Source organism: Homo sapiens, chromosome 15 (genome assembly GCF_000001405.40).
Source record: "Homo sapiens chromosome 15, GRCh38.p14 Primary Assembly".
Taxonomy (NCBI): domain Eukaryota; kingdom Metazoa; phylum Chordata; class Mammalia; order Primates; family Hominidae; genus Homo; species Homo sapiens.
The window spans coordinates 55,547,869-55,575,090 of NC_000015.10; the positions used below are offsets into that span (position 1 = coordinate 55,547,869).

The window sequence follows — 27,222 nt, forward strand, 5'->3', positions numbered from 1 at the left end:
TTCGTGATATGCACATAATACTAAATCACTATTATAGTTGAACAATTATTTCAGGTTAAAATTGTTACTATATATTTTGAAATCTTTTAATAGAACTGCAGGCATTCATGCCCTTTAAAAACCTTTAAATTAGATTTAAGAACAAGCATTTTAATTTTAATTTTTTTTTGAGACAGAGTCTCACGCTGTCACCAAGGCTGGAGTGCAGTGGCGTGATCTCAGCTCATTGCAACCTCTACCTTCCAGGTTCAAGCAATTCTCATGCCTCAGCCTCCGCAATAGCTGGGATTACAGGAGTGTGCCACCACACCCGGCTAATTTTTATATTTTTAGTAGAGAAGGGCTTTCCCCATGTTGGCCAGTCTGGTCTCGAACTCCTGGCCTCAAGTAATCCACCCACCTTGGCCTCCCAAAGGGCTGGGATTATAGGCATGAGCCACCATGCCCAGCCTAAGAACAAGCATTTTAATTTGCCCACACTTCCTTTTTGCAGTATCTAGTCTATGCCTATAGTCTGACAATAGCCACTAGTTACAGACTTAAACAAAAAAAAATACAGCGAGGCGTGGTGGCTCACACCTGTAATCCTAGCACTTTGGGAGGCCGAGGCGGGTGGATCACGAGGTCAAGAGATTGAGACCATCCTGATCAACATGGTGAAAGCCCGTCTCTACTAAAAATACAAAAATTAGCTGGGCATGGTGGCGCGTGCCTGTAATTCCAGCTACTTGGGAGGCTGAGGCAGGAGAATCGCTTCAACCTGGGAGGTGGAGGTTGCAGTGAGCTGAGATCACCCCACTGCACTCACTCCAGTCTGGCAACAGAGCAAGAATCCACCTAAAAAAAAAAAAAAAAAAAAAAAAAAAAAAAAAAAAAAAAAAGAAAGTACCATCACTGGAATGATTGATTGAAAGTACAATGAATGATTAAAAGTACAATCACTTGAATAGAAAACAAAACTTATGACCAAGTTCAAATTTACCTCATCAGCCTGACCATACTAGCAAAGAAAAACTTTTATTAAAGAAAATGTCAGTTTACCTGTGTATTTGCCTTGCGCTTTTTCTTATCTGGGCTTCCTAGTTGTACACCTGGTCCTCCTAACCCATCCAGTCCACTATCACCACCTAAAAAAAAAAAAATTCAGGTAATATTTCCCACTTGTAAGTGAAGTTACTTTATATCTCATAGTAATATCTATTATATTTACCTGTTAATGTTTTCTATTTTCGTTAGACAAGAGCAATACTTTTATTATCATTATCTGTTTCAAAAAAGTCTTTCCCATAGTTTGAGCCAGAAATAGCCATTCATCCCTGCTCCCATATTTATTATTCTTTCAGTGAAAAAGCAAGTCTCTCTCTCTCACTCTAAAATCTTTAGTAACTGGTTCCCTGTCTCAGAGGCCACCACTATTACTAGTTTCTGGCCTACCTTTCCAAAGATAATCTAGATATATTAAAGTATATTATTATTATTTTTTTGGCGGGGAGGACACAAATGAGACAAAGTACACACAGTACACACAGTGTACCTTGCTTTCTTACTTGGAGATCATTCCATATCACTCTATTTAGAACTTCTTTATTTTGTAATAGCTGAGTAGTATTCTACAGTGTGACTACACCATGATTCATTAAACTAGTCCCCTCCATATTGATCAATGTTTAAGTTGTTTCCAAGCCTCTGCTGTTGCTGCAATAAAAATCCATGTATAAATGCCTTTAGAGAGATTTACAAGTAGCTCCTAGAACCAGAATTATGGCATCAAAGGTATGTGCCTTTTAATTCTTAAAGATAATGTTAAAAATGCAACAATGTTTCCAAATATTGCTTTCTCAACAGTACATGATCAAGGAAAGCAAAAGCTTGACTATCAATCTAAGAGGTTAAAAAGAGTTTATGAAAGGAATTTTTCCAGCTTTAAGAAACATTTTATTATGGAGAATTCTGAACATATACAACATACAGAGAAGAATGAAATTAACCCCATATGCCTATCACCCAGCCCTAATAACCATCACATCTCATCTTGTGTTTTCAACACCATCTTCACCTCTCTCCATCCAGTACTACTTTGAAGAAAATTTCAGACATCATTTTATTGGTAAATATTTCAGAATGTATTTCTAAAAACTAGGAACTTAAAAAAAATACAATGCCATTCTAGCCACTACAGAAATTAACAATAATCCTTCATATAATTTCATACCCAATCCAATTATCTCATAATATCTGTATGGTTTGTTTAGATTGGGATCCAAATATGTTCCATAGATTACAACTGGTTTGACATGTCTTTTAATTGATATACTTCCCTCCATCCTGTTTTTTCCTTGCAAAGTATTAACTGAACCAGGCTGATTATTGTTCCAATTATTAAGCTACCATCTTTTAGCTCCAACCCCTCTTAGTGACACTGGAACTGGGACTTTGCAAACTACATTTTTCTTTTGCTAGGGTCTTCCAACGGGAGCTCTAGAGGGATACTTGAAGGCCAGGGGAAGTGATAGGAAATTTCTGCCCCTCCTGTCTGCTTACTCTTCTTATCTCTATCATCCCAACAGGCCTTCTCTCTGGCACTGGTAGTCCATCACACTCCCCAAACCAGCTTCAACATGTTTTCTCAGAGGTTATTAATACCAGCTGGGCAGCACCTCAATCTCCAAGTCTGAGTCCAAGCTCTATGGCATCTCTCTTCCAATCCTCTAGGTTCTCATAACCCCAACTTCTTTTCTTTGTTCACTAAGTCCCAGATGTGGAAGTTCCTTCCTGCAGTCACTGTCCATGCTACCTCACTTTTTGCTTTTTTGGTTTTTCAACACCTGTTTAATTCCTTACATAAAATTATATTACAAATTATATTACATTAAATTGCAGGTGTGATTTATATTTTCTAGTCTGGAATGTTTGATATATCTTGATTTTGCTGATTATATTTGCTGATTGACATGTTTAACATGTTCCTTATTTCCTATAAATTGATATTGGGTCTAGACCAGTGATCCCCAACCTTTTTGACACCAGGGACCAGTGGTGGGGGATGGGAGGTGGCGATGGTTGTGGAATGAAACTGTTCCACCTCAGATCATCAAGCATTAGATTCCCATAAGAAATGCACAACCTAGATCCCTCGCATGCACAGTTCACAATAGGGTTCACCCTCCTATGAGAATCTAATGCTGCTGCTGCTGATCTGTCAGGAGGCGGAGCTCAGGCAGTAATGCTCGCTCACCCGCCAGTCACCTCCTGCTGTGTGGCCTGGTTCCTAACAGGGCATGGACTAGTACCAGTCCGTGGCCCAGGGGTTGGGGATCCCTGGTCAAGACTATAGGCTTGATCAGATTCAGATTTCTGTTTTTTTGCAAGGCTGCTCCATAAGTGATGGTCTGTTCTTCCACTAGAAGGAACCTAATTTCTGGTTGATTTTCTTTAACAGTTGTATTAATTTTCTATTGCTGTATAACAAATTACCACATACTTGCTTTGCCACTTAAAACAATGTCCACTTAAATAGAAGCAGAGGGAACACTTCCTAACTCATTCTATTGGGCCAATATTACCTTGATACCAAAGCCAGACAATGATATCACAAGGGGAAAAAACCAAAAAACCACAGACTAACACCTCCTAAGAATACAGATGTGGCCGAGTGTGGTGGCTCATGTCGATAATCTCAACACTTTAAGAGGCTGAGGCGGGGGATTGCTCCAGCCCAAGAGTCTGAGACCAGCCTGGAAAACACAGTGAGATCCCACCTCTACATTAAAATTAAAATTAAAAAAAAAATTAGCCAGGTATGGTGGCACATGCCTGTGGTCCCAGCTACTCAGGAGGCTGAGGTGGGAGGATCTCTTGATCTCAGGGGTTGGAGGCTGCAGTGAGCTGTGAAGATGCCACTGCACTCTAGCCTGGGCAACAGAGCAAGACCCCAACTAAAAAAAAGAACACAGATGCAAAAATTCTCAACAAAATACTAGCAAAACAAATGCAGCAGAATATTCAAAGGATAATACATCATGACAAAGCGGGATTTTTCCCAGCAATAGAAGGTTGATTCAGCATATTAAAATAAATCAATTTAATATGCCATATTAATAGAATAAAGAGAAATATACATGATCATTTCAATAGATGCATAAAAGCATTTGACAAAAATCTAATACCAAGGAGGGGTCAAGGTGGCTGATTAGAAGCAGCTGTGGGCCAGGCACAGTGGCTCACACCGGTAATCCCAACACTTTGGGAGGCCGAGGCAGGCAGATCACTTGAGGTCAGGAGTTCGAGACCAGCCTGGCAAACATGGCGAAACCCCGTCTCTACTAAAAATACAAAAATTAGCCAGGTATAATGGCAGGCACCTGTAATCCCAGCTACTTGGGAGGCTAAGGCAGGGAGAATTGCTTGAGTCTGGGACGCAGAGGTTCCACTGAGTTGAGATCGCACCACTGCACTGCACTCCAGCCTGGGCAAAAGAGCGAGACTCTGTCTCCAAAAAAAAAAAAAAAAAAAAAAGGTAGGGGGAGCTGTGGTCCATGGCTCTCAGGGAGAAGAATGAAAATGGTGTGTGAATTAAGCACCTTCAACTGAAATATCCAGGTTCTCACAATGGGACTGACCAAGTGAACAACTTGACCCACAGAGAATGAAGAAAAATGGGGTAGGGCAATCGCCCGCCCAGGAGCAGCATGGAGCCAAAAAAAAAGCCCCACCTCCAGCCAAGGGAAGCAGTGAGTGATTGTGTGACCCCATCCAGGAAACCACACTTCTCCCACAGATCTTTGCAACCCACAGATCAGGGGATCTCCTCGTGAGCCCATGCCACCAGGGCCTTGGGTCCGATATACAGAGCTGTGTATGCAGAGTCTCAGTAGAGCAGCCACTCAGGCACACACAGAGACCCAGGAGTTTTACATACTCCGGCCCCAGAAGTCCCTGCAAAGATGAAAAAGAATCCTGCAAGGCAAAAGATCCACCCATACATTCCCTAGGAAGGGTGCTGAATTCAGGGAGCCAAGCAGCATTGTTCTGCGGGCCCCACTTCCATGGCACCTCCCAAGTTAAGATCCACTGACTTGGAATTCCAGCCACCAGCATCAACAGACTGGAGACTGGCTGAGACAGAGCAAGTTCCTGGGGGAGGGGTGGCCGCCATCTCTGCAGTTGACTCAGCTGTTCTAGCCTGCTGGCACTGGGGAGTCCAGGCAGTCTGGACGAAGGGGAGTGCTCTACAATGCAGCACAGCTGCTGTGCCAGATCATGGCCAGACTACTTCCTTAAGTGGGACCCTGATCCATCACTTCTCACAGAGCAAGGCCTCCCTGTGGGAATTTCCAAGCAGGGTTATACAAGCAGAACTCTGAACTCTCCCCATGATGGAGCCCCTGGGGAAAGGGGCAGCTGCTGTCTCTGCAGTTCAGTAGACAGTCTTTCCTGCCTGCTGGCTCTGAAGAATCTAGGCAGTCTGGACAAAGAAGGATTCCCCCCAGTGCAGTACAACTGCTCTATCAAAAAGCAGCCAGACTGCTTCCTTTTTTTTTTTTTTTAAGAAGGAGTTTCGCTCTGTTGCCAGGCTGGAGTGCAGTGGCGTAGCCTTGGCTCACTGCAACCTCTGCCTCCTGGGCTCAAGCGATCCTCCTGCCTCAGCCTCTTGATTGGCTGGAATTACAGGCACTTGCCACCACCACCACTTGCCACCACCACTAACTTTTTTTGTATTTTTAGTACAGATGGGGTTTCGCCATGTTGGCCAGGCTGGTCTCAAACTCCTGACCTCAAGTGATCTACCCACCTCAGCCTCCCAAAGTGCTGGGATTACAGGTGTGAGCCAACGCGCCCAGCCTCTAGACAGTGGTGAAACCTCTGAACCGGGGTCTCCAGATACCTCCTATAGAAGCACTCAAGCCAGCAATAGGTCAGGACTGCCCTGGGAAGGAGCTCCCAGAGGAAGGAGCAGGCTGCCACCTTTGCTGTTACGCAGCCTTCACTGGTAGTATCTCCAGGTACAGGAAAAACTGAGGCAACTAGGGTCAGGAGCAGACCCCCAGCAAACTGCAGCAGCCCTACAGAAGTATGGCCTGAATGTTAAAAGAAAAACAAACAAACAGAAGCAATGTCAACAACAATATCAACAAAAAAGACCCCACAAAAACCCCATCCAAAGGTCAGCAACCTCAAAGAGCAAAGGTAGATAAGCCCAAAAAGATGAGAAAGAATCAACACAAAAACGCTTAAAACTCAAAAAAACAGAGTGCCTCTTCTCCTCCTAATGATCACAGCACTTCTCCAGCAAGGGCACTGAACTGGGCTGAGGCAGATGGGCACAGTGGCTCATGCCTGTAATCCCAGCACTTTGGGAGGCCAAGGTGGGTGGATCATGAGGTCAGGAGATCGAGACCATCCTGGCTAACATGGTGAAACCCCATCTCTACTAAAAATATATTTAAAAAAATTATCAGGGTGTGGTGGTGGGCACCTGCAGTCCCAGCTACTTGGGAGGCTGAGGTGGGAGAATGGCGTGAACATGGGAGGTGGAGCTTGCAGTGAGCTGATATTGAACCACTGCACTCCAGTCTGGGTGACAGAGCAAGACTCTGTCTCAAAAAAAAAAAAAAAAAAAAAAAAAGAAAGAAAGAACTGGGCTGAGGCTGAGATTGGCTGAACTGACAGAGGTAGGCGCCAGAAGGTCAGTAATAATCAATTTCACTGAGTTAAAGGAGCATGCTGTAACCCAATGCAAAGAAGCTAAGAATCATGATAAAACAATACAGGTGCTGATAACCAGAAGAGCCAGTTTAAAGAGGAATATAGGTGACATGATGGAGCTGAAAAACACAACATGAGAACCTCATGATGTAATTACAAGTGTCAACAGCAGAACAGACCAAGCAAAGGAAAGAATCTCAGAGCTTGAAGATAATCATTCTGAAATAAGAAAGGCAGACAAGAATAGAGAAAAAGGAAAGAACTAAACCTCCAAGGAATATGGAATTATGTAGAGAATAAATCTACAACTCATTGGTTTCCCTGAAAAAGGGGGAGAATGGAACCAAGTCGGAAAACATACTTCAGGATATCATCCAGGAGAACATCCCCAACCTAGCAAGACAGGCCAACATTCAAAATTCAGGAAATCCAGAGAACCCCAGTAAAATAATGCACAAGAGATCAACCCCAAGATACATAATCATCAGATTCTCTGAGGTCAAGATGAAAAAAAAAATGTTATGGGCTGCCAGAGAGAAAGGCCAGGTCGCCTACAAAGGGAAACCAATCAGACTAACAGTAGACCTCTCAGCAGAAACCCTACATGCCACAAGGGATTGAGGACCAATGTTCAACATTCTTAAAGAAAAAATTTCCAACCAAGAATTTCATATCCGACCAAACTAAGCTTTATAAGCAAAGGAGGAATAAGATCGTTTTCAGATAAGCAAACCCTGAGGGAATTCGTCACCACTGAGCCTGCCTTGCAAGAGCTCCTGAAGGAAGCACTAAATATGGAAAGGAAAAACTGTTGCCAGCCAGTACAAAAGCACTGAGGTACATGACCAATGAAGCAACCACATAAACAAGCCTGCAAATTAACCAGCTAACATCATGATGACAGGATCAAATTCACATATAACAATATTAACCTTAAATGTAAATGGAGTGGGGTGGGGGGAGGGGGGAGGGATAGCATTAGGAGATATACCTAATGCTAAATGACGAGTTAATGGGTGCAGCATACCAACATGGCACATGTATACATATGTAACAAACCTGCACGTTGTGCACATGTACCCTAAAACTTAAAGTATAATAATAAAATTTTTTAAAAAATGTAAATGGAGTAAATGGCCCAATTAAAAGGCACAGAATGGCAAGCTGGATAAAGAGTTAAGTCTCATCGTTATGCTGTCTCCGAAAGACACACCTCACAGGCAAAGACACACATAGGCTCAAAATAAAAGGAGGGAGGAAAATTTATCAAGAAAATGAAAAACAGAAAAAAGCAGGGGTTGCAATACTAGTTTGTGACAAAACAGAGATCAAAAAAGGGCATTACGTAACGGTAAAAAGTTCAATTCAACAAGAATAGCTAACTATCCTAAATATATTTGCACCCAACACAGGAGCACCCAGATTCATACAGCAAGTTTTTAGAGACCTACAAAGAGACTCAGACTCCCACAAAATAATACTGGGAGACTTTAACACCCCACTGACAATATCAGACAGATTATCGAGACACAAAATTAACAAAGATATTCAGGACCTGCACTCAGCTCTGGGTCAAGAGGACCTGATAGATATATACAGAATTTTCCACCCAAAAACAACAGAATTTACATTCTTTTCATCGACACATGGCACTTACTCTAAAATTGATCACAATCGGAAGTAAAACACTCCTTAGCAAATGCAAAAGAACAGAAATCATAACAGTCTCTCACACCACAGCGCAATCAAATGAGAACTCAAAACTAAGAAATTCACTGAAAACCATACAACTACATGAAAACTGAACAACCTGCTCCTGAATGACTCCCGGGTAAATACTGAAATTAACACAGAAATCAAGTTCTTCGAAACTAATGAGAACAAAGAGACAATGTACCAGAATCTCTGGGATGCAGCTAATGCAGTGTTAAGAGGGACATTTATAGCACTAAATGCCCACATCAAAAAGCTCGAAAGATCTCAAATTACCAAGCTAACATCACAACTAAAAGAACTGGAGAACCAAGGGCAAACAAACTCCAAAGGTAGCAGAAGAAAAGAAATAAGCAAAATCAGAGCAGAACTGAAGGAGACAGAGACACAAAAAACCCTTCAAAAAAAAAAATCAATAAAGCCAGGTTGGTATTTCGAAAAAATTAATAAAAGAGACTGCTAGCTAGACTAATAAAGAAAAAAGAATCAAATAGACACAATCAGAAATGAAAGGGGGATATCACCACTGACCCCACAGAAATACAATACAGAAATACAATCACCAGAGAATATTATAAGCACCTCTATGCACATATACTAAAAAAAAAACTGGAACAAATAAATTCCTAGGCACATACATCCTCCCAAGACTGAACCAGGAAGAAACTGAATTAAAGAATAGTAACAAGTTCTGAAATTGAGGCAGTAATAAATAGCCTACCAACCCAAAGAAGCCCAGGACCAGACAGATTTACAGCCAAATTCTACCAGAGGTACAACTGAAACTGTTCCAAAGAAATGAAAAGGAGGACGACTAATAAAGAAGAAAAGAGAGAAAAATCAAATAGGCGCAATAAAAAATGATAAAGGGGATATCACCACCGATCCCACAGAAATACAAACTACCATGAGAGAATACTATAAACACGTCTACGCAAATAAACTAGAAAATCTAGAAGAAATGCATAAATTCCTCGACACATACACCCTCCCAAGACTAAACCAGGAAGAAGTTGAATCCCTGAATAGACCAATAACAGGCTCTGAAATTGAGGCAATAATTAATAGCCTACCAACCAAAAAAAGTCCAGGACCAGACGGATTCACAGCTGAATTCTACCAGAGGTACAAGGAGGAGCTGGTACTATTCCTTCTGAAACTATTCCAATCAATAGAAAAAGAGGGAATCCTCCCCAACTCATTTTACCGGGCCAGCATCATCTTGATACCAAAGCCTGGCAGAGACACAACAAAAAAAGAGAATTTTAGACCAATCTCCCTGATGAACACTGATGCAGAAATCCTCAATAAAATACTGGCAAACCGAATCCAGCAGCACATCAAAAAGCTTATCCACCATGATCAAGTGGGCTTCATCCTTGGGATGCAAAGCTGGTTCAACATATGCAAATCAATAAATGTAATCCAGCATATAAACAGAACCAAAGACAAAAACCACATGATTATCTCAATAGATGCCGCAAAGACCTTCACAAAATTCAACAGCCCTTCATGCTAAAAACTCTCAATAAATTAGGTATTGATGGGACGTCTCTCAAAATAATAGGAGCTATTTATGACATACCCACAGCCAATATCATACTGAATGGGCAAATACTGGAAGCATTCCCTTTGAAAACTGGCACAAGACAGGGATGCCCTCTCTTACCACTCCTATTCAACACAGCATAGTGTTGGAAGTTCTGGCCAGGGCAATCAGGCAGTAGAAAGAAATAAAGGGTATTCAATTAGGAAAAGAGGAAGTCAAATTGTCCCTGTTTGCAGATGACATGATTGTATAGTTAGAACACCCCATTAGCCTCAGCCCAAAATCTCCTTAAACAGATAAGCAACTTCAGCAAAGTCTCAGGATACAAAATCAATGTGCAAAAATCACAAGCATTCTTATACACCAATAACAGACAAACAGAGAGCCAAATCATGAGTGAACTCTCACTCAAAATTGCTTCAAAGAGAATAAAATACCTAGGAATCCAACTTACAAGGGATGTGAAGGACCTCTTCAAGAACTACAAACCACTGCTCAACAAAATAAAAGAGGATACAAACAAATGGAAGAACATTCCATGCTCATGGATAGGAAGAATCAATATCGTGAAAATGGCCATACTGCCCAAGGTAATTTATAGATTCAATGCTATCCCCATCAAGCTACCAATGACTTTCTTCACAGAATTGGAAAAAAAATACTTTAAAGTTCATATGGAACCAAAAAAGAGCCCACATTGCCAAGACAATCTTAAGCCAAAAGAACAAAGCTGGAGGAATCATGCTACCTGGCTTCAAACTACACTACAAGGCTACAGTAAGCAAAACAGCATGGTACTGGTACCAAAACAGAGATATAGACCAATGGAACAGAACAGAGCCAACGCATGTACAACCATCTGATCTTTGACAAACCTGACAAAAACAAGAAATGGGGAAAGGATTCCCTATTTAATAAATGGTGCTGGGAAAACTGGCCAGCCATATGTAGAAAGCTGAAACTGGATCCCTTCCTTACACCTTATACAAAAATTAACTCAAGATGGATTAAAGACTTAAATATTAGACCTAAAACCATAAAATCCCTAGAAGAAAACCTAGGCAATACCATTCAGGACATAGGCATGGGCAAGGACTTCATGTCTAAAACACCAAAAGCAATGGCAACAAAAGCCAAAATTGACAAATGGGATCTAATTAAACTGAAGAGCTTCTGCACAGCAAAAGAAACTCCCATCAGAGTGAACAGGCAACCTACAGAATGGGAGAAAATTTTTGCAATCTACTCATCTGACAAAGGGCTAATATCCAGAATCTACAAAGAACTCAAACAAACTTACAAGAAAAAAACAACCCCATCGAAACGCGGGTGAAGGATATGAACAGACACTTCTCAAAAGAAGACACTATGCAGCCAACAGATACATGAAAAAATGCTCATCATCACTGGCCATCAGAGAAATGCAAATCAAAACCACAATGAGATACCATCTCACACCAGTTAGAATGGCGATCATTAAAAAGTCAGGAAACAACAGGTGCTGGAGAGGATGTGGAGAAATAGGAATACTTTTACACTGTTGGTGGGACTGTAAACTAGTTCAACCATTGTGGAAGACAGTGCGGCGATTCCTCAAGGATCTAGACCTAGAAATACCATTTGACCCAGCCATCCCATTACTGGGTATATACCCAAAGGATTATAAATCATGCTGCTATAAAGACACATGCACACGTATGTTTACTGCAGCACTATTCACAATAGCAAAGACTTGGAACCAACCCAAATGTCCATCAATGATAGACTGGATTAAGAAAATGTGGCACATATACACAATGGAATACTATGCAGCCAGAAATGAAAAGGAGGGACTCCTCCCTAACTCATTTTATGAGGCTAGCATCATCCTGATAACAAAACCTGGCAGAGATAAAACAAAAAGAGAAAACTTCAGGCTAATATTCCTGATGAACATTGATGTAAAAACCCTCAATAAAATACTGGCAAACCAAATCCAGCAGCACATCAAAAAGTTTACGCACCATGATCAATTTGGCTTAATCTCTGAGAATGCAAGCTTGATTCAACAGATGAAAATCAATAAATATAATTCATAAACAGAACTAAGACAAAAAACACATGATTATCTCAGTAGATGCAGAACAGGCCTTCAATAAAATTTAACACCCTTCGCGTTGAAAACTCAATAAACTAGGTATTGAACAAACATACTTAAAAATAATAATAACCATATATATGACAAACCCACAGCTGATTATCATACTGAATGGGCAAAAGCTGGAAGCATTCCCCTTGAAAACTGGCAAAAGACAAGGATGCTCTCTCTCACCACTCCTATTAAATATAGTACTCAAAGTTCTGGTCAGGGCAATCAGGCAAGAGAAAGAAATAAAGTGTATTCAAATAGGATGATAATAAGTCAAATTATCTTTGTTTGTAGATGACATGATATATCTAGAAAACCCCATCGTCTCAGCTCAAAAGCTTCTTAAGCTGATAAGCAACTTCAGCAAAATCTCAGGATATAAAATCAGTGTAAAAAAATTGCAAGCATTACTATACACCAACAACAACCAAGCAGAGAACAAAATCATGAATGAACTCCCATTCACAATTGCTAGAGAGAATATACTACCTAGGAATACAGCTAACAAGAGACGTAAAGGACCTCTTCAAGGAGAACTACAAACTACTGCTCAAGGAAATAAGAGAGGACACAAACAAATGGAAAAACATTCCATCCTCATGGATAGGAAGAATCAGTATTGTGAAAATGGCCATACTGCCCAAAGTAATTTATAGACTTGATGCTATTCTCATCAAACTACCATTGACATTCTTCACAGAATTAGAAAACACTACTAGCTGGGCACAGTGGCCCACACCTATAATCCCAGCACTTTGGGAGGCTGAGGTGGGCAGATCACAAGGTCAGGAGTTTGAGATCAGCCTGGCCAACATGGTGAAACCCTGTCTCTACTAAAAAATACAAAAATTAGCCAGGCATGGTGGTACACACCTGCAGTCTCAGCTACTCGGGAGGCTGAGGCAGCAGAATTGCTTGAACCTGTGTTGCAGTGAGCCGAGATCATGCCACTGCACTCCAGCCTGGGCGACAGAGCAAGACTCTATCTCAAAAACAAACAAACAAACAAACAAACCCCACTACTTTAAAGTTCATATGGAACCAGAAAAGAGCCCAAATAGCCAAGACAATCCCAAGCAAAAAGAACAAAGGTGGAGGCATCACACTACCTAGCTTCAAACTATACTACAAGGCTACAGTAACCAAAACAGCATGGTACTTATACAAAAACAGACATACAGAACAACGAAACAGAAGAGAGAACTCAGAAATAAGACCACACACCTACAACCATCTGATCTTTGATAAATCTGACAAAAATCTGCAATGGGGAATAGATTCTCTATTTAATAAATGGTGATGGTAGAACTGGCTAGCCATATGCAGAAAACTGAAACTGGACCCCTTCTGTATTAGTCCCTTCTCACATTGCTATAAAGAATTTCCCTGAGATGGTAATTTATAAAGGAAACAGGTTTAATTGACTCACATTTCCACATGGCCCGGGAGGCCTCAGGAAACTTACAATTATGGCAGAAGGGGAAGCAGGCACCTTCTTCACAAAGTGGCAGGAGAAAGAAGAGTGAGCAAAGGAGGAACTTGCCAAACACTTATAAAACCATCAAATCTCCTGAGAACTCACTCGTATCACAAGAATAGCATGGGGGAAACCACCCCCATAAGCCAATCGCTTCCCACCAGATTCCTCCCTTAATACCTGGGGTTTACAATTCAAGATGAGATTTGCACAGGGACACAAAGCTAAACCATATCACCTTCCTTACACCTTGCACAAAAATTAACTCAGGATGGATTAAGACTTAAATGTAAAACCTAAAATGATAAAAACACTAAAAGAATATCTAGGCAATACCATTCAGGATTTAGGCATGGGGAAAGATTTCACGGTGAAAACTCCAAAAGCAATTGCAACAAATGCAAAAATTGACAAATGGGATCTAAACTAAAGAGCTTCTGCACAGCAAAAGAAACTATCATCAGAGTGAACAGACAACCTACAGAATAAGAGAAAATGTTTGCCTTCTGACAAAGGTCTAATATCCAGAGTCTACAAGGAACTTAAATTTACAAGAAACAACCAACCAACCCCATTAAAAAGTGGGCAAAGGACATGAACAGACACTTCTCAAAAAAAGACATTTATGCAGCCAACAAACATGAAAAAAAGCTCAACATCACTGATCATTAGAGAAATGCAAATCAAAACCACAACGAGATACCATCTCACATCAGTCAGAATGGCGATGATAAAAGTCAAGAAACAACAGATGCTGGCAAGGTTGCGGAGAAAAAGGAACACTTTTACACTGTTGGTGGGAGAATAAATTAGTTCAACCACTGTGGAAGAAAGTGTGGTGATTCCTCAAAGATCTAGAGGCAGAAATACCATTGGACCCAGCAATCCCTTTCCTGGATATAGACCCAAAGGTATATAAATCATTCTGCTATAAAAATACATGCACACTGGCTGAGCGTGGTGGCTCATGCCTGTAATCCCAGCACTTTGGGAGGCTGAGGTGGGCAGATCACCTGATGTCAGGAGTTCAAGACCAACCTGGCCAACATGGTGAAACCCTGTCTTTACAAAAATACAAAAATTAACTGGGCATTTTGGCGGGTGCCTGTAATCCCAGCTACTCGGGAGGCTGAGGCGGAAGAATCACTTGAACCTGGGAGGCAGAGGTTACAGTAAGCTGAGATCACGCCATTACACTCCAGCCTGGGTGACAGAGCAAGACTCCAACTCAAAAAAAAAAAAGAAAAATCCACACATATGTTCAGTGCAGCACTATTCACAACAACAAAGACATGGAATCAATCCAAATGCTCATCAATGATAAAGAAAATGTGGTACATATACACCATGGAATACTATACAGCCAAAAAAAGGAATGAGAACAAGTCCTTGGCAGAGACATGGATGGAGCTAGAAGCTGTTACCCTCAGCAAACTAATGCAAGAAAAGAAAACCAAAAACAAAACACCACATGTTCTCACTTACAAGTGGGAGCTGAACAATGAGAACACATGGACACATTGCGGGGAACAACACACACTGGGGCCTGTCGGGGGGAGCGGGAGGGAGAGCATCGTGACCTTGATTAGCCAAGTTTCTTAATTATAATGCCAAAGCACAAGAAACAAAAGAAAAAAAACATAAATTGCACTTCATCAAAATTAAAAACTTTTGATGAAAGTTTTTCATCAAAGAACACTATCACTAAAGTGAAAAGACAACCCACACAATGGGGGAAAATATTTGCAAATAATAAGACTCTGATGAGAGTCTAGTATCCAGAATATATGAATAATTCTTACAACTCAAAGAAAACAACCTAACTGAAAAACGGCCAAAGGTTTGTCTTTTTCCCCCCTCCAAATGTATCTTTTATTTCAATATGTTTTTAGGGAGGAGGTGGTGGTTGGTTACATGAATAAATTCTTTTTTTTTTTTTTTTTTGAGACGAAGTCTTGCTCTGTCGCCCAGGCTGGAGTGCAGTGGCACAATCTTGGCTCACTTCAACCTCTGCATCCTGGGTTCACGTGATTCTCCTGCCTTAGCCTCGTGAATAGTGCGCCACCATGCCCAGCTAATTTTTATATTTTTAGTAGAGATGGGGTTTTACCACATGGGTCAGGCTGGTCTCGAGCTCCTGACCTCGTGATCCGCCTGCCTCGGCCTCCCAAAGTGTTGGGATTACAGGCGTGAGCCACCACGTCCAGCCACAAATAAATTCTTTAGTGGAGATTTCTGAGATTTTGGTGCATCTATCACCCGAGCAGTGTACACTGTACCCGACGTGTAGTCTTTTATCCCTCACCCAGCCAAAGGTTTTGAACAGACATTTCTCCAAATAAAATACACAAATGGCCAAGAAACACATGAAAAGATGCTCAGCACCAGTAGTCGTTATAAAAAATGCAAATTAAAACCGCAATGAGATAACACTGGGATGGCTGTAATCAAAAAGACAAATAATAACAAGCATTGGCAAAGATATGGAGAAACTGGAACCCTCATACTTTGCAGGTGGGAATGTAAAATGGTACAGCCACCGTGGAAAACACGTGGAAAACAGTTTGGCAGTTCCTCAAAAAGTAAAACATAAAGTTATCATATGATCCAGCAATTCCTCTCCTAGGTATTTATCCAAGACAAGACAACTGAAAATTTCTTTGCACAAAAACTTGTACAACGTTTTTAGCAGTATTATTTGTAATAGCCAAAAAAGTAGAAACAACCCAAATGTCCATCAACGAGTGAATGGATATACAAAATGGTATATCTATACAATGAAACATTACTCAGCCATAAAAAGGAATGAAGTACTGATACATGCTACAACATGGATGAACCTTGAAAATGTTGTAAGTAAAAGAAGCCAGACACAAAAAGCCACATGTTGCATGATTCCATTTATAGGAAGTGTCCAGAATGGGAAAATCTTTAGAGACAAAAAACAGATTAGTAGTTGACAGACCACTAGGAAAGGGAGGAAATTGGGAGTTACATGGTATCTTTTTGAGGCAATGGAAAGTAATATAGAATTAGAAAGTAGAGGGTAAAGTCCTCTAAAGCTTTGCCTGCTCAGAGCTCCTCTGCTCCTAGTGGCCAGAACAGAGAGGTGGAGCAGATCTGCAGCCCAGGGGTTCTGGTGGCCATGCCTGTCCCAGGGCCATGCAAGGCACAGGTGTCACAAAAGAGAGAAACAAAGAAAGTAGTGACTTTTTAGCACAGTACTAAAAACCACTGAAATGTATACTCTAAGATAGTTTAAATGGTGAATTTTACATCATGTGAATTTTATCTGAATTAAAAATAAATTTTAAAACCATTGATAATCTCTCAGTCTGTAGTTCAAAAATCAGAAATTGGGCTGCGTTCTCTGCTCAGGATATCAAGGTATCAGTAGGGTGAGTTCTTGTCTTGAGGCTCTGAGGGAAATCTGCCTCCAATCTCATCATTCTTGTCTGTAGCCAAATTCAATTCCCTGTGGTTGTAGGATTAACATCCTACTTTCCTTGCTGGCTGTCAGCTCTTATCTCCTAGAGACCACCCACATTCCTTGATTCATGACTCTTTCTGCTTTCAATGTGTATCAACTCCTTGTGCTTCAAGTCTCTGATTTCTTCTTCTTGAACTAGCCATAAAGAAGCCTTTGCTCTTAGAAGGTTCATGTAATTAGTTCAGGTCCGCCCAGTTAATCTCCCTATCTCCAGGTGAACTGTGCCATATGATACAGCCCAATCGAGGGATTAACATTCATGAAATTCACAGTACTGAGCATTACACAGGGAGGTACACTAGCAGGATGGGACATCTTGGTGGTCATCTTAGAATTCTGCCCCTACATAAACCACCACTGATAATCAAAGCCTAGGCCCACTGATTCACCAGAGGATGCAAAATGGTCATATTTTCATCTGTTTTCATTTATCTCACCATGTATAAACTTTCATTTCTCTATAATGTATATTTAAAAATCATATGTATTTTGGCCAAGCGCGGTGGCTCATGCCTGTAATCCTAGCACTTTGGAAGGCAGAGGCGGGCAGACTACCTGAGGTCAGGAGTTCGAGACCAGCCTGACCAACATGGTGAAACCCCATCTCTACTAAAAATAAAAATTAAAAAAAAAAAATTAGCCAGGCTGGTAGCGGGCACCTGTAGTCCCAGCTACTCAGGAGGGTGAGGCATGAGAATCGCTTGAACCCGGGAGGCGGTGCTTGCAGTGAGCCAAGATCGCACCACTGCGCCCCAGCCTGGTGACAGAGTGAGACTCCGTCTCCCCCAAAAAAAAACAAAAACAAAAACAAAAAGAAACATATTTATTTCCTTTTCCATGTATGTCCTTTGCCATTTTTTCTTTTCTTTTCTTGAGACAGTCTCACTCTGCCACCAGGCTGGAGTGCAGTGGCACATGTTGGTTCACTGCAACCTCCAACTCCTTGGTTCAAGAGATTCTCCTGCCTCAGTCTACCAAGTAGCTGAGATTATAGGCACACGCCACCACACTCAGCTAATTTTTGTATTTTTAGTAGAGACAGCGGTTCTACCATGTTGGCCAAGTTGGTCTCGAACTCCTGACCTTGTCATCAGCCTGCCTCGGCCTCCCAAAGTGCTGGGATTACAGGCGTGAGCCACCGTGTCTGGCTTTTATTTTCAACTTTTATTTTAGATTTGGGGAGTACATGGGCAGGTATGTTACCTGGGTATATTGTATGATGCTGAGGTTTGAGGTGTGAAATGATCCTGTCACCCAGGTGCTGAGCATAGGTTTTCAAACCCTGCCCCTAATTGCACTGCCCCTCAGTAGTCCCCAGGGTCTATTGCTGCCATCTTTATGTCCATGAGTAACCAATGTTTAGCTCCCACTTACAAGTGAGAACATGCAGTATTTGATTTTCTCTTCCTATGTTAATTTGCTTAGGATAACGGCCTCCAGTTGCATTCATATTGCTACAAAAAAAAAAAAGATTTCATTCTTTTTTTTTTATGGTTGTTTATATTCCATGGTGTGTATGTACCACATAGTCTTTATCCAATCCACCACTGATGGGCACCTAGGTTGATTCCATGTTGTTGTGATTGTGAATAGTGGTGCCATGTACATGTGATTATGTGTCTTTTTAGTAGAACAATTTGTTTTCTTTGGGGTATATATCCAGTAAGGGGATAGCTGGGTTGAACAGTAGTTCTGTTTTAATTTATTTGAGAAATCTCCAAACTGCTTTCCACAGTGACTAATTTATATTCTCACCAACAGTCTATGTGCATTCCCTTTTCTCCACAGGCCTTATCAACACCTGGTTTTGATGGTTTTGAGACAAGGTCTCACTCTATTGCCCAGGCTGGAGTGCAGTGGCGTGATCACAGCTGACTACAGCCTTGCCCTCCTGGGGTAAGGTGATCCTCCCACTTCAGCCTACCAGGTAGCTGAGACTACAGGTGTGGGCTGCCATGTCCAGCTAATATTTTGTATTTTGAGTAGAGAAGGGGTTTTGCCATGCTGTCCAGACTGATCTCGAACTCCTGGGCTCAAGCAATCCACCTACCTCAGCCTCCCAAAGTGCTGGGCTTACAGGCATGAGCCACCCATGCCCAGCCATTTTTTGACTTTTTAAAAATAGCCATTCTGACTGATGTGAGATGGTATCTTATTGTGGTTTTGATTTGCATTTCTCTGATTAGTGATGATAAACATTGCTTCATGTTTCTTGGCCACTTGCACGGCTTCTTTTGAGAAATATCTGTTCCTGTCTTTTGCCCACCTTTTTTTTTTTTTTTTTTTTTTTTTTTTTGAGACAGGGTCTGGCTCTATCACTCAGGCTGGGTGCAGTGGTGTGAAGACAGCTAACTGCAGCCTCAAACTCCTGGGCTCAAGAGATTCTCCTACCTCAGCTGCCCACGTGTCTGGGACCACAAGCATGTGCCACCATACCTGGCTAATTTCTTTATTTTTTGTAGAGACAGGGTCTCCCTTTGTTGCCCAAGCTGGTCTCAAACTCCTTTTGCCCATTTTTAATGGGGTTGTTTGTTTTTGGCTTGTTCAATGGTTTAAATTCCTTATAAATTCTGGATATTAGACCTTTGTCAGATGCACAGTTTGTGAATATATTCTCCCTTCTGTAGGTTGTCTGTTTACTCTGTTGTTTCTTTTGCTATGCAGAAACTCTCTAGTTTAATTAGATCCTACTTGTCAATTTTTGTTTTTGTTGCAATTGCTTTCAAGACTTAGTCATATATTCTTTTGCAAGACTGTTGTCCAGAATGGTGTTTCCTGGGTATTCTTGGATTCTTATAGTTTGAGGCCTTAGATTTAAATCTATAATCCATCTTAATTTTTGTACATGGTGATAGGTATGGGTCCATTTTCATTCTTCTACATATGGATAGCCAGCTATCCCAGCGCCATTTACTGGGCCTTTCACCATTGCTTGTTTTTCTCAATTTTGTCAAATATCAGATGGCTACAAGTATGTGGCTTTATTTCTAGGTTCTCCATTCTATTGGTCTAAATTGTTTTCGTACCAGTACCATGCTGTTTTTGATACTGCTGCCTTATATTTGAAGTAAAGTAATGTGATGCCTCCAACTTTGTTCTTTTTGCTTAGGATTGATTTGGCTATTTGGGCTCTTTTTTGGTTCCGTATGAATTTTAACACAGTTTTTTCCAATTCTGTGAAAAATTCCATTGTAGTTTGATAGAAATAGTGTTCAATGTGTAGACTGCTTTGAGCAGTGTGGCTATTTTAATGAGATTGATTCCTTCAATTCATGAGCATAGAATGTTTTTCCATTTGTTTGTGTCATCTATGATTTATTTTATCAGTGTTTTTTAGTTCTCCTTGTAGAGATGTTTCACCTCAATGGTTAAGACGTATTTCCTAGGTACTGTGTGTGTGTGTGTGTGTGTGTGTGTGTGTGTGTGTGTGTGTCTGTAAATGGGATTGCTTTCTTGATGTGGCTCTCAGCTTGTATATTACTGGTATATTGAAATGGTACCAGTTTTTGAACGTTGATTTTGTATCTTGAAACCTTGCTAAAATTGTTTATAAATTCTAATAGCCTTTTGGTGGAGTCCTTAGGGTGTTGTAAGTATAGAATCATATTGTCAGCAAAGAGAAATAGTTTGTCTTCTTTTCCTATTTGGATGCCTTTTCTTTCTCTTGCCTGAGTGCTCTAACACTTCCAGTACTGTACTGAATAGGAGTCATGAGAGTGGGTATGCTTGTCTTGTTCCAGTTCTCAGGGTACTGCATCCAGTTTCTGCCTATACAGTATGATGCTGGCTCTGGGTTTGTCATAGAGGGCTCTTATTATTTGGAAGTATGTTCGTTCGATGCCTAGTTTGCTGAGGGTTTTTATCGTGATAGGATGTTAGATTTTATCAAAAGCTTTTTTCATGTCTATTAAGATGATTATATGATTTTTATGTTTAATTCTGTTTATGTGGTGAATCACACTTATTGATTTGCTTATGTTGAACCAACCTTGCACCCCAGGACTGAAACCTACTTAATCATGGTGAATTAACTTTTTGATGTGCTATTGAATTTGGTTTGCTAGTATTTTGTTAAGTATGTTTACATCTATGTTCATCAGGGATACTGGCCTATAGCTTTCTTTTTTTTTTCATTGTGTCCTTGCCAGGTTTTGGTATTGGGATGATGGGACTCATTCTACTTTATAGAATGAGTAAGGAAGGAGTTCCTCCTCAATTTTTTAGAATAGTAGAATTGGTACCAGCTCTTCTCTTTTTGAATTTCTAGTAGAATTCAGCTATAAATTCATTTGATCCTAGGGTGTTTGTTTGTTTCATTGATACTTTGTATGGATTTTGGTGTCTCAATTTGTTATATTCAGCTCTGATTTAGTTATTTCATTTCTTCTGCTAGCCTTGAGATTAGTTTGTTCTTGTTTTTCTAGTTCTTCTAGGTGTGATGTTAGATCATTAATTTGAGATCTTTCTAACTTTTTGAGGTGATGTTCAGTGCTACATATGCTCCTTTTAATACTGTTGCCACTGCATCCCAGATATTTTGGTATGTTGTGCCTCTGTTTTCATTTATTTCAAAGAATTTTTTAAATTTCTGCCTTGATTTCATTACCCAGATGTCATTTCATTACCCAAAAGTCATTCAAGAGCAAGTTGTTTAACTTCCATGCAATTGTGTGATTTTGAGAGATCTTCTTGGTACTTCTATGTTTATTCCACCGTGGTCCAAAAGTACTGTTGGTAGGATTTCAATTTTTTTGAATTTATTGAGACTTGCTTTACAGCCAAGCATGTGGTCAATCTTAGAGTATGTTCATGTGCAGATGAGAAGAATGTATATTCTGTGGTTGATGGATGGTGGCTGTGCCTGCCATTGGGGTCCTATAGACATATCTACCACTCCACAGCAGGCACTCCAATCTCTAGCCTGAGACTAAAATGCCTATATAGCTGCACTGCCAGGTCACCAAGGAATTCCTGATTTTGTACACAACCAGATTTAAAATGGCATCCTGCTCTCAGGGTCTTGGAAAATACCTGCAGCTTTTCCCAGTGTCTTTCCCTCACAGTGTCTCCAAGATTTTCCCCATGTTAGCTCCAGGGCTTGGGAGAAACAAAGGGCTTTCCCTCTACCTGAGTTGCTCAGATCCCCAGTGGAAAGGTCAGTCAGAGAGAGGGGCTCTCTACCTCTTTCACATACTTAGGCCTCACTCACTTTTATCAACTGGATGCCATCATGGGGGCTGTTTGCCAGTGTTCTCCTCTCTGGGATTGAGGGTGTCCTTCACAATTCCATTGGATACTCATTTTCCTTTTTGAATTAAAGCTCACAGAGTTGATCTTTATGTACTATCTTGCTATTTCCAGGTGGCTGAGGCATGCCAAAAGCCTCTAATCTGCCATCTTGGGGAAAAAGAAGCCTGCTTTTGTTTTTAAGAAAAATTTTTTCAAATTTTACTCTGATTTATCAAAAATATCTAAACTAGTCATTTTCAATCTTGGCTGCATGTTGGAATCACTTGGGAGCTAATATTCCTTGCCATTTTTCTACTGAGTGTTTCATCCTTTTCTTAGTGATTTATGGAAGCTTTTCATATACTAAAAAAAAAAACTGAACATATTTAAACTGTAAATACTTTCATCAGGTTATTATGTTTTGATTTCTTGTTATAAAATTTTAAATACATTTTAAATTTTAGATTTTTACATTTATAAAAATGTGAAGATAGTAAAGAGAATTTGCACATACCCTGTACCCAGTTTCCTCTATAATGCTATCCAGAATTTTAAAAAATAATTTTATGTAATAAAATGCATCAATATTTTATTTTTTAATTCTGGGCTTTGTCTTATGCTTAAAAGAGCAATCCCCATTTTTAGAGAATAAAACATAATTCTCTCAGGTTTTTTTCCTAATATTTTTATGGCTTAATTTTTTAATTTTAACTTTTAATTGTAGTAAAACACATATATAATTTACCATCTTAAAGTATACAGTTCAGTGGTATTAAGTATATTCACATTACTGCATAACCAACCTCCAGAATGTTTTCATCTTGTAAAACTGAAACTATATCCATCAAGCAACAACTCCCCATTTTCCCCTTCTCCATCCCCTATGATCCTCATCTACTTTTAGCTTTTATGAATTTGACTACTCTAGATATTTTACACAAGTAGAATCATCCAGTACTTGTCTTTCTGTGACTGACTTATTTCATTAAGCATAATGTCCTCAAGGTTCTATAGCATGTGTCAGAATTTCCTTCCTTTTTGTGGCTGAATAATATTCCATGTATAGTATACACATACTACATTCTGTTTATCCATTTATCTGTAGATGCATACCTCGGTTGTTTCTACCTTTTAGCTACTGTGACTAATGCTGCTAAGAACATACATGTTATAATACCTCTTTGAGACTCTATTCTCAACTATTTCGGATATATACACAGAAGTGAAATTGTTGGAGAGTTTATCCTATGATATGGTATGGCTGTGTCCCTACCCAAATCTCATCTTGAATTCCCATGTGTTGTGGGAGGGATCTGGTAGGAGGTAACTGAATCATGGGGGCAGGTCTTTCCTATGCTGGTTTTATGATAGTGAATAAGTCTCACGAGATCTGACGGTTTTACAAACAGGGGTTTCCCTGCACACGCTCTCTCTTTGCCTGCCACCATCCACGTGAGATGTGACTTGCTCCACCTTGCTTTCCACCGTGATTGTGGGGCCTCTCCAGCCACATGGAACTGTAAGTCCATTAAACCTCTTTTTATCTATAAATCATCCAGTCTTGGGTATGTCTTTATCAGCAGCGTGAAAATCATCCAGTATTCGTCTTTCTGTGACTAGACTAATACATCCTATTTTCAATTTTTTGAGGAACCATCAAGCTATTTTTTCGTAATATGGCCATATTTTTATGTCATATCTTTACTCCATTTGGAATTTATTTTGGGATAATGTGAGGTAAAAAACAATGTTATTTTGTTCCAGATGGCTAGCCACAACAGGGAATACTATTCCATTTATTAGAAGTCTTCCTCTGTGTCCCTCAATAGGGTTTTTAGGGAGTTTTTATCTACAGATTCAATATAATCTCCATCAAAATTCCAAGGGCATCTTCCACAGAAAAAGAAAAAAAATCCTAAAATTCATATGGAACCACTAAAGATTCTGAATAGCCTAAGCAATCTTGACAAACAAGTGAACAAAAAATCACTTCCTGATTTCATACTATATGACAAAGCTACAGTAATACGGGCATAAAAACACACACATTCACCATGGAACACAATCAAGAGCCCAGAAATAAACCAACAAATACATGATTAATATTTGGCAAAGGTACCAAGAGTACAAAATGGAGAAAGGATAGTCTAGTCCCTCCAACAAATGGTGCTGGAAAAACTGAATAACCACATGCAGATGAATGAAACTGGACACCTATCTTATAACTACTCACAAAGATTAACTGGAAATGGACTAAAGATTTAAATGTAAGACCTGAAATTGTAAAACTCCTGGAAGAAAAGAGAGGAAAAAACTTCCTTGACATTGGTCTTGCCAATGATTTTTGGGATATGACCAAAAGCACAAGCAACAAAAGCAGAAATAAGCAAGTGGGAATACCTCAAACTAAAAGTCTTCTGCACAGAAAAGGAAACAAAATGAAAAGGCAGCCTACAAAAATGGGAGAAAATATTTGCAAATCATATATCTCTTAAGGAGTTAATACCCAAAATATATAGGTGCTCATCCAAAAGCAAAAACAATGCTTAATCAATGGAGAAAGGACCTAGGTACACATTTTTCCAAAGAATACATAAAAATGGCCAACAGGTACCTGAAAAGGTGCTCAACATCACTAGTCAACAGGGAAATCAAATCAAAACCACAATGAGAAATAACCTTACATTTCTTAGGATGTATTATCAAAAAGACAAAAAAAATAAATAAATAAAGCCAGGTGTGGTAGCTAATGTCTGTAATCCCAGCACATTGGGAGGCCAAGGTAGGAGGATCACTTGAGGTCAGGAGTTCAAGATCAGCCAAGGTCAACACAGTGAGACTCTGTCTTTAAAAAAAAAAAAAAAAAGCTGGGCACAGTGGCTCATGTCTGTAATCCCAGCACTTTGGGAGGCTGAGGTGGGCGGATCACGAGGTCAGGAGTTCGAGACCAGCCTGGCCAACATGGTGAAACCCTGTCTCTACTAAAAATACAAAAAATTAGCCGGGCGTGGTAGCAGGCACCTGCAATCCCAGCTACTTAGGAGGCTGGGGCAGGAGAATCGCTTAAGCCTGGGAGGCAGAGGTTGCAGTGAGCCAAGACTGTGCCACTGCACTCTAGCCTGGGCAACAGAGCAAGACTCCATCTCAAAAAAGGAAAAAAAAAAAGAGAGACAAGAGATAGCAAGTGTTGGTGAGGATGTGGAGGAAAGGGAAGCCTCATCCACTGCTGGTGGGAATGTAAGTTGGTACAGCCATTAAAGAGAAGCCTGGAAGTTCCTCAAGAAATTAAAAATAGAACTACTTTATGATCCAGTAATCCAACTTCTGGATATACACCCAAAGGAAATGAAATCAGTATCTCAGAGAGTTATGTGCACTCCCATGTTTGTTACATTATTCACAAGAGCCAAGACATGGAAACAACATAAGCATCTGTCAACAATGGGTGCATATAGTTGATCCTTGAACTATATACATTGTGATATAGTTGATTCTTGAACAATGCGGATGTTAGAAGCTCTGATACTCTGTGCAGTCAAAAGTCCATGTATAACTTTTGATTACCCTAAAACTTAACTACTAAAATAGGCTACTGTTGACTGGAAGCCTTAACAGATAACATGAAGAACTGATTAACAAATATATGTTATATGTTGTATTACATACTGTGTTCTTACAATAAAGTAGGCTAGAGAAAAGATATAATTGAGAAATCATAAGAAAGAGAAAATACATTTATAGTACTATATTTATCATACTATATGTTTTCATTGTCTATTTACAAGATGAATCATCTGTCTGAAATGGCGGGCAACCAAGGTTGAAGACCTCAATCTACGGTATATATCAAGCAATTCAGCTTTTTCTGGTAACGTCATGGCTTTTCTGTTTCTTGGGAGCACTTCCAGCATCACTAGTGGCACTTTATATGGGTCCCATGGTGTTATTTAAGGTTTATGGTACAGCACTAAAGATGATGAAAAATATGTGAGAACCAAAAGATACTATTTTTTACTGTGATGTGCAATTTATTGGAGAAATGAACTGCTTTCATAGAGATGATTAGCACCATGTGGTATTTTAAGCAGATACTTGCAACATTTGACCTCACCACAATAGCAATAGGAGGTGGCTATGAAATTACAGTAGTACAGTAAGCACAGTTAATTTTATGCAGTTATGATTTAATACTGCATCATTGTTTACCTTCCTCTCTACTGCAAATGGTGCCACGTAGGGTCTGCAAATGCTTGTGTAAGTTTTGATAAATTTTAACTTTTTGTAATAGATTTGTGTAAGTTTTACGGTAGTAAATAATAAAGTAGACTAGTGTCTACATATATTTTATGCAGTCATGACAGACTTAACTTTTTCTTAATTTGTTGGTATTTCTAGGCTATAGGGTTCATCTGTTGAGTTTTTTCAATTTGTTGCAATTCTTCAAAAAATTTCAGGTTCAAACCCATGTTGTTCAAAGGTATACTGTATATGTGTGTGTGTGTGTGTGTGTGTGTATGATACGTAAACATATCTTCAAAGATATATGATATATAAAGATATCTTTATAAGGACAGCTAATGTCATTTATTTTTTATCTACCTACAATATATGGCCTTATCCACAGGCAATAAATGTTTGTTGAATTAAATTGAGTCCAAGTATCTTTGTTTTTGTTCGTTCCTTCATTTGCTATAGTATATTTCAACAGTTAATTAACAATTAAAAGACAAAAACTAAGAAAATTTCCACAATACCAGATTGTTACAAAACTGAAGGGAAGAGGATTACCATTTAATAACATTAATTCAGTGAATGTTTACTGTGTCAGATACTGGGATAAGCACTTTATATACATTATTTCATCTGATCCTCAAAGAATTCTATGGCTATACCCATTTTATAGATGAGAAAACAGAGGCTCAGATTTAACT

The 27,222-nt window shown here is 39.8% G+C and overlaps 1 protein-coding gene across 4 annotated transcripts in view; it reads right to left on the reverse strand.

Annotated features, from left to right (window-relative positions):
• PYGO1 (pygopus family PHD finger 1) overlaps positions 1-27,222 on the reverse strand; it is a 50,088-nt gene that overhangs the window by 8,985 nt on the left and 13,881 nt on the right. For all 4 annotated transcript variants that reach the window (NM_015617.3, NM_001330326.2, NM_001367806.1 and 1 more), the window contains exon 2: positions 1,042-1,127. In NM_015617.3, coding sequence (NP_056432.1) covers positions 1,042-1,127 — 86 coding nt within the window. The remainder of the gene's footprint in view (positions 1-1,041; positions 1,128-27,222) is intronic.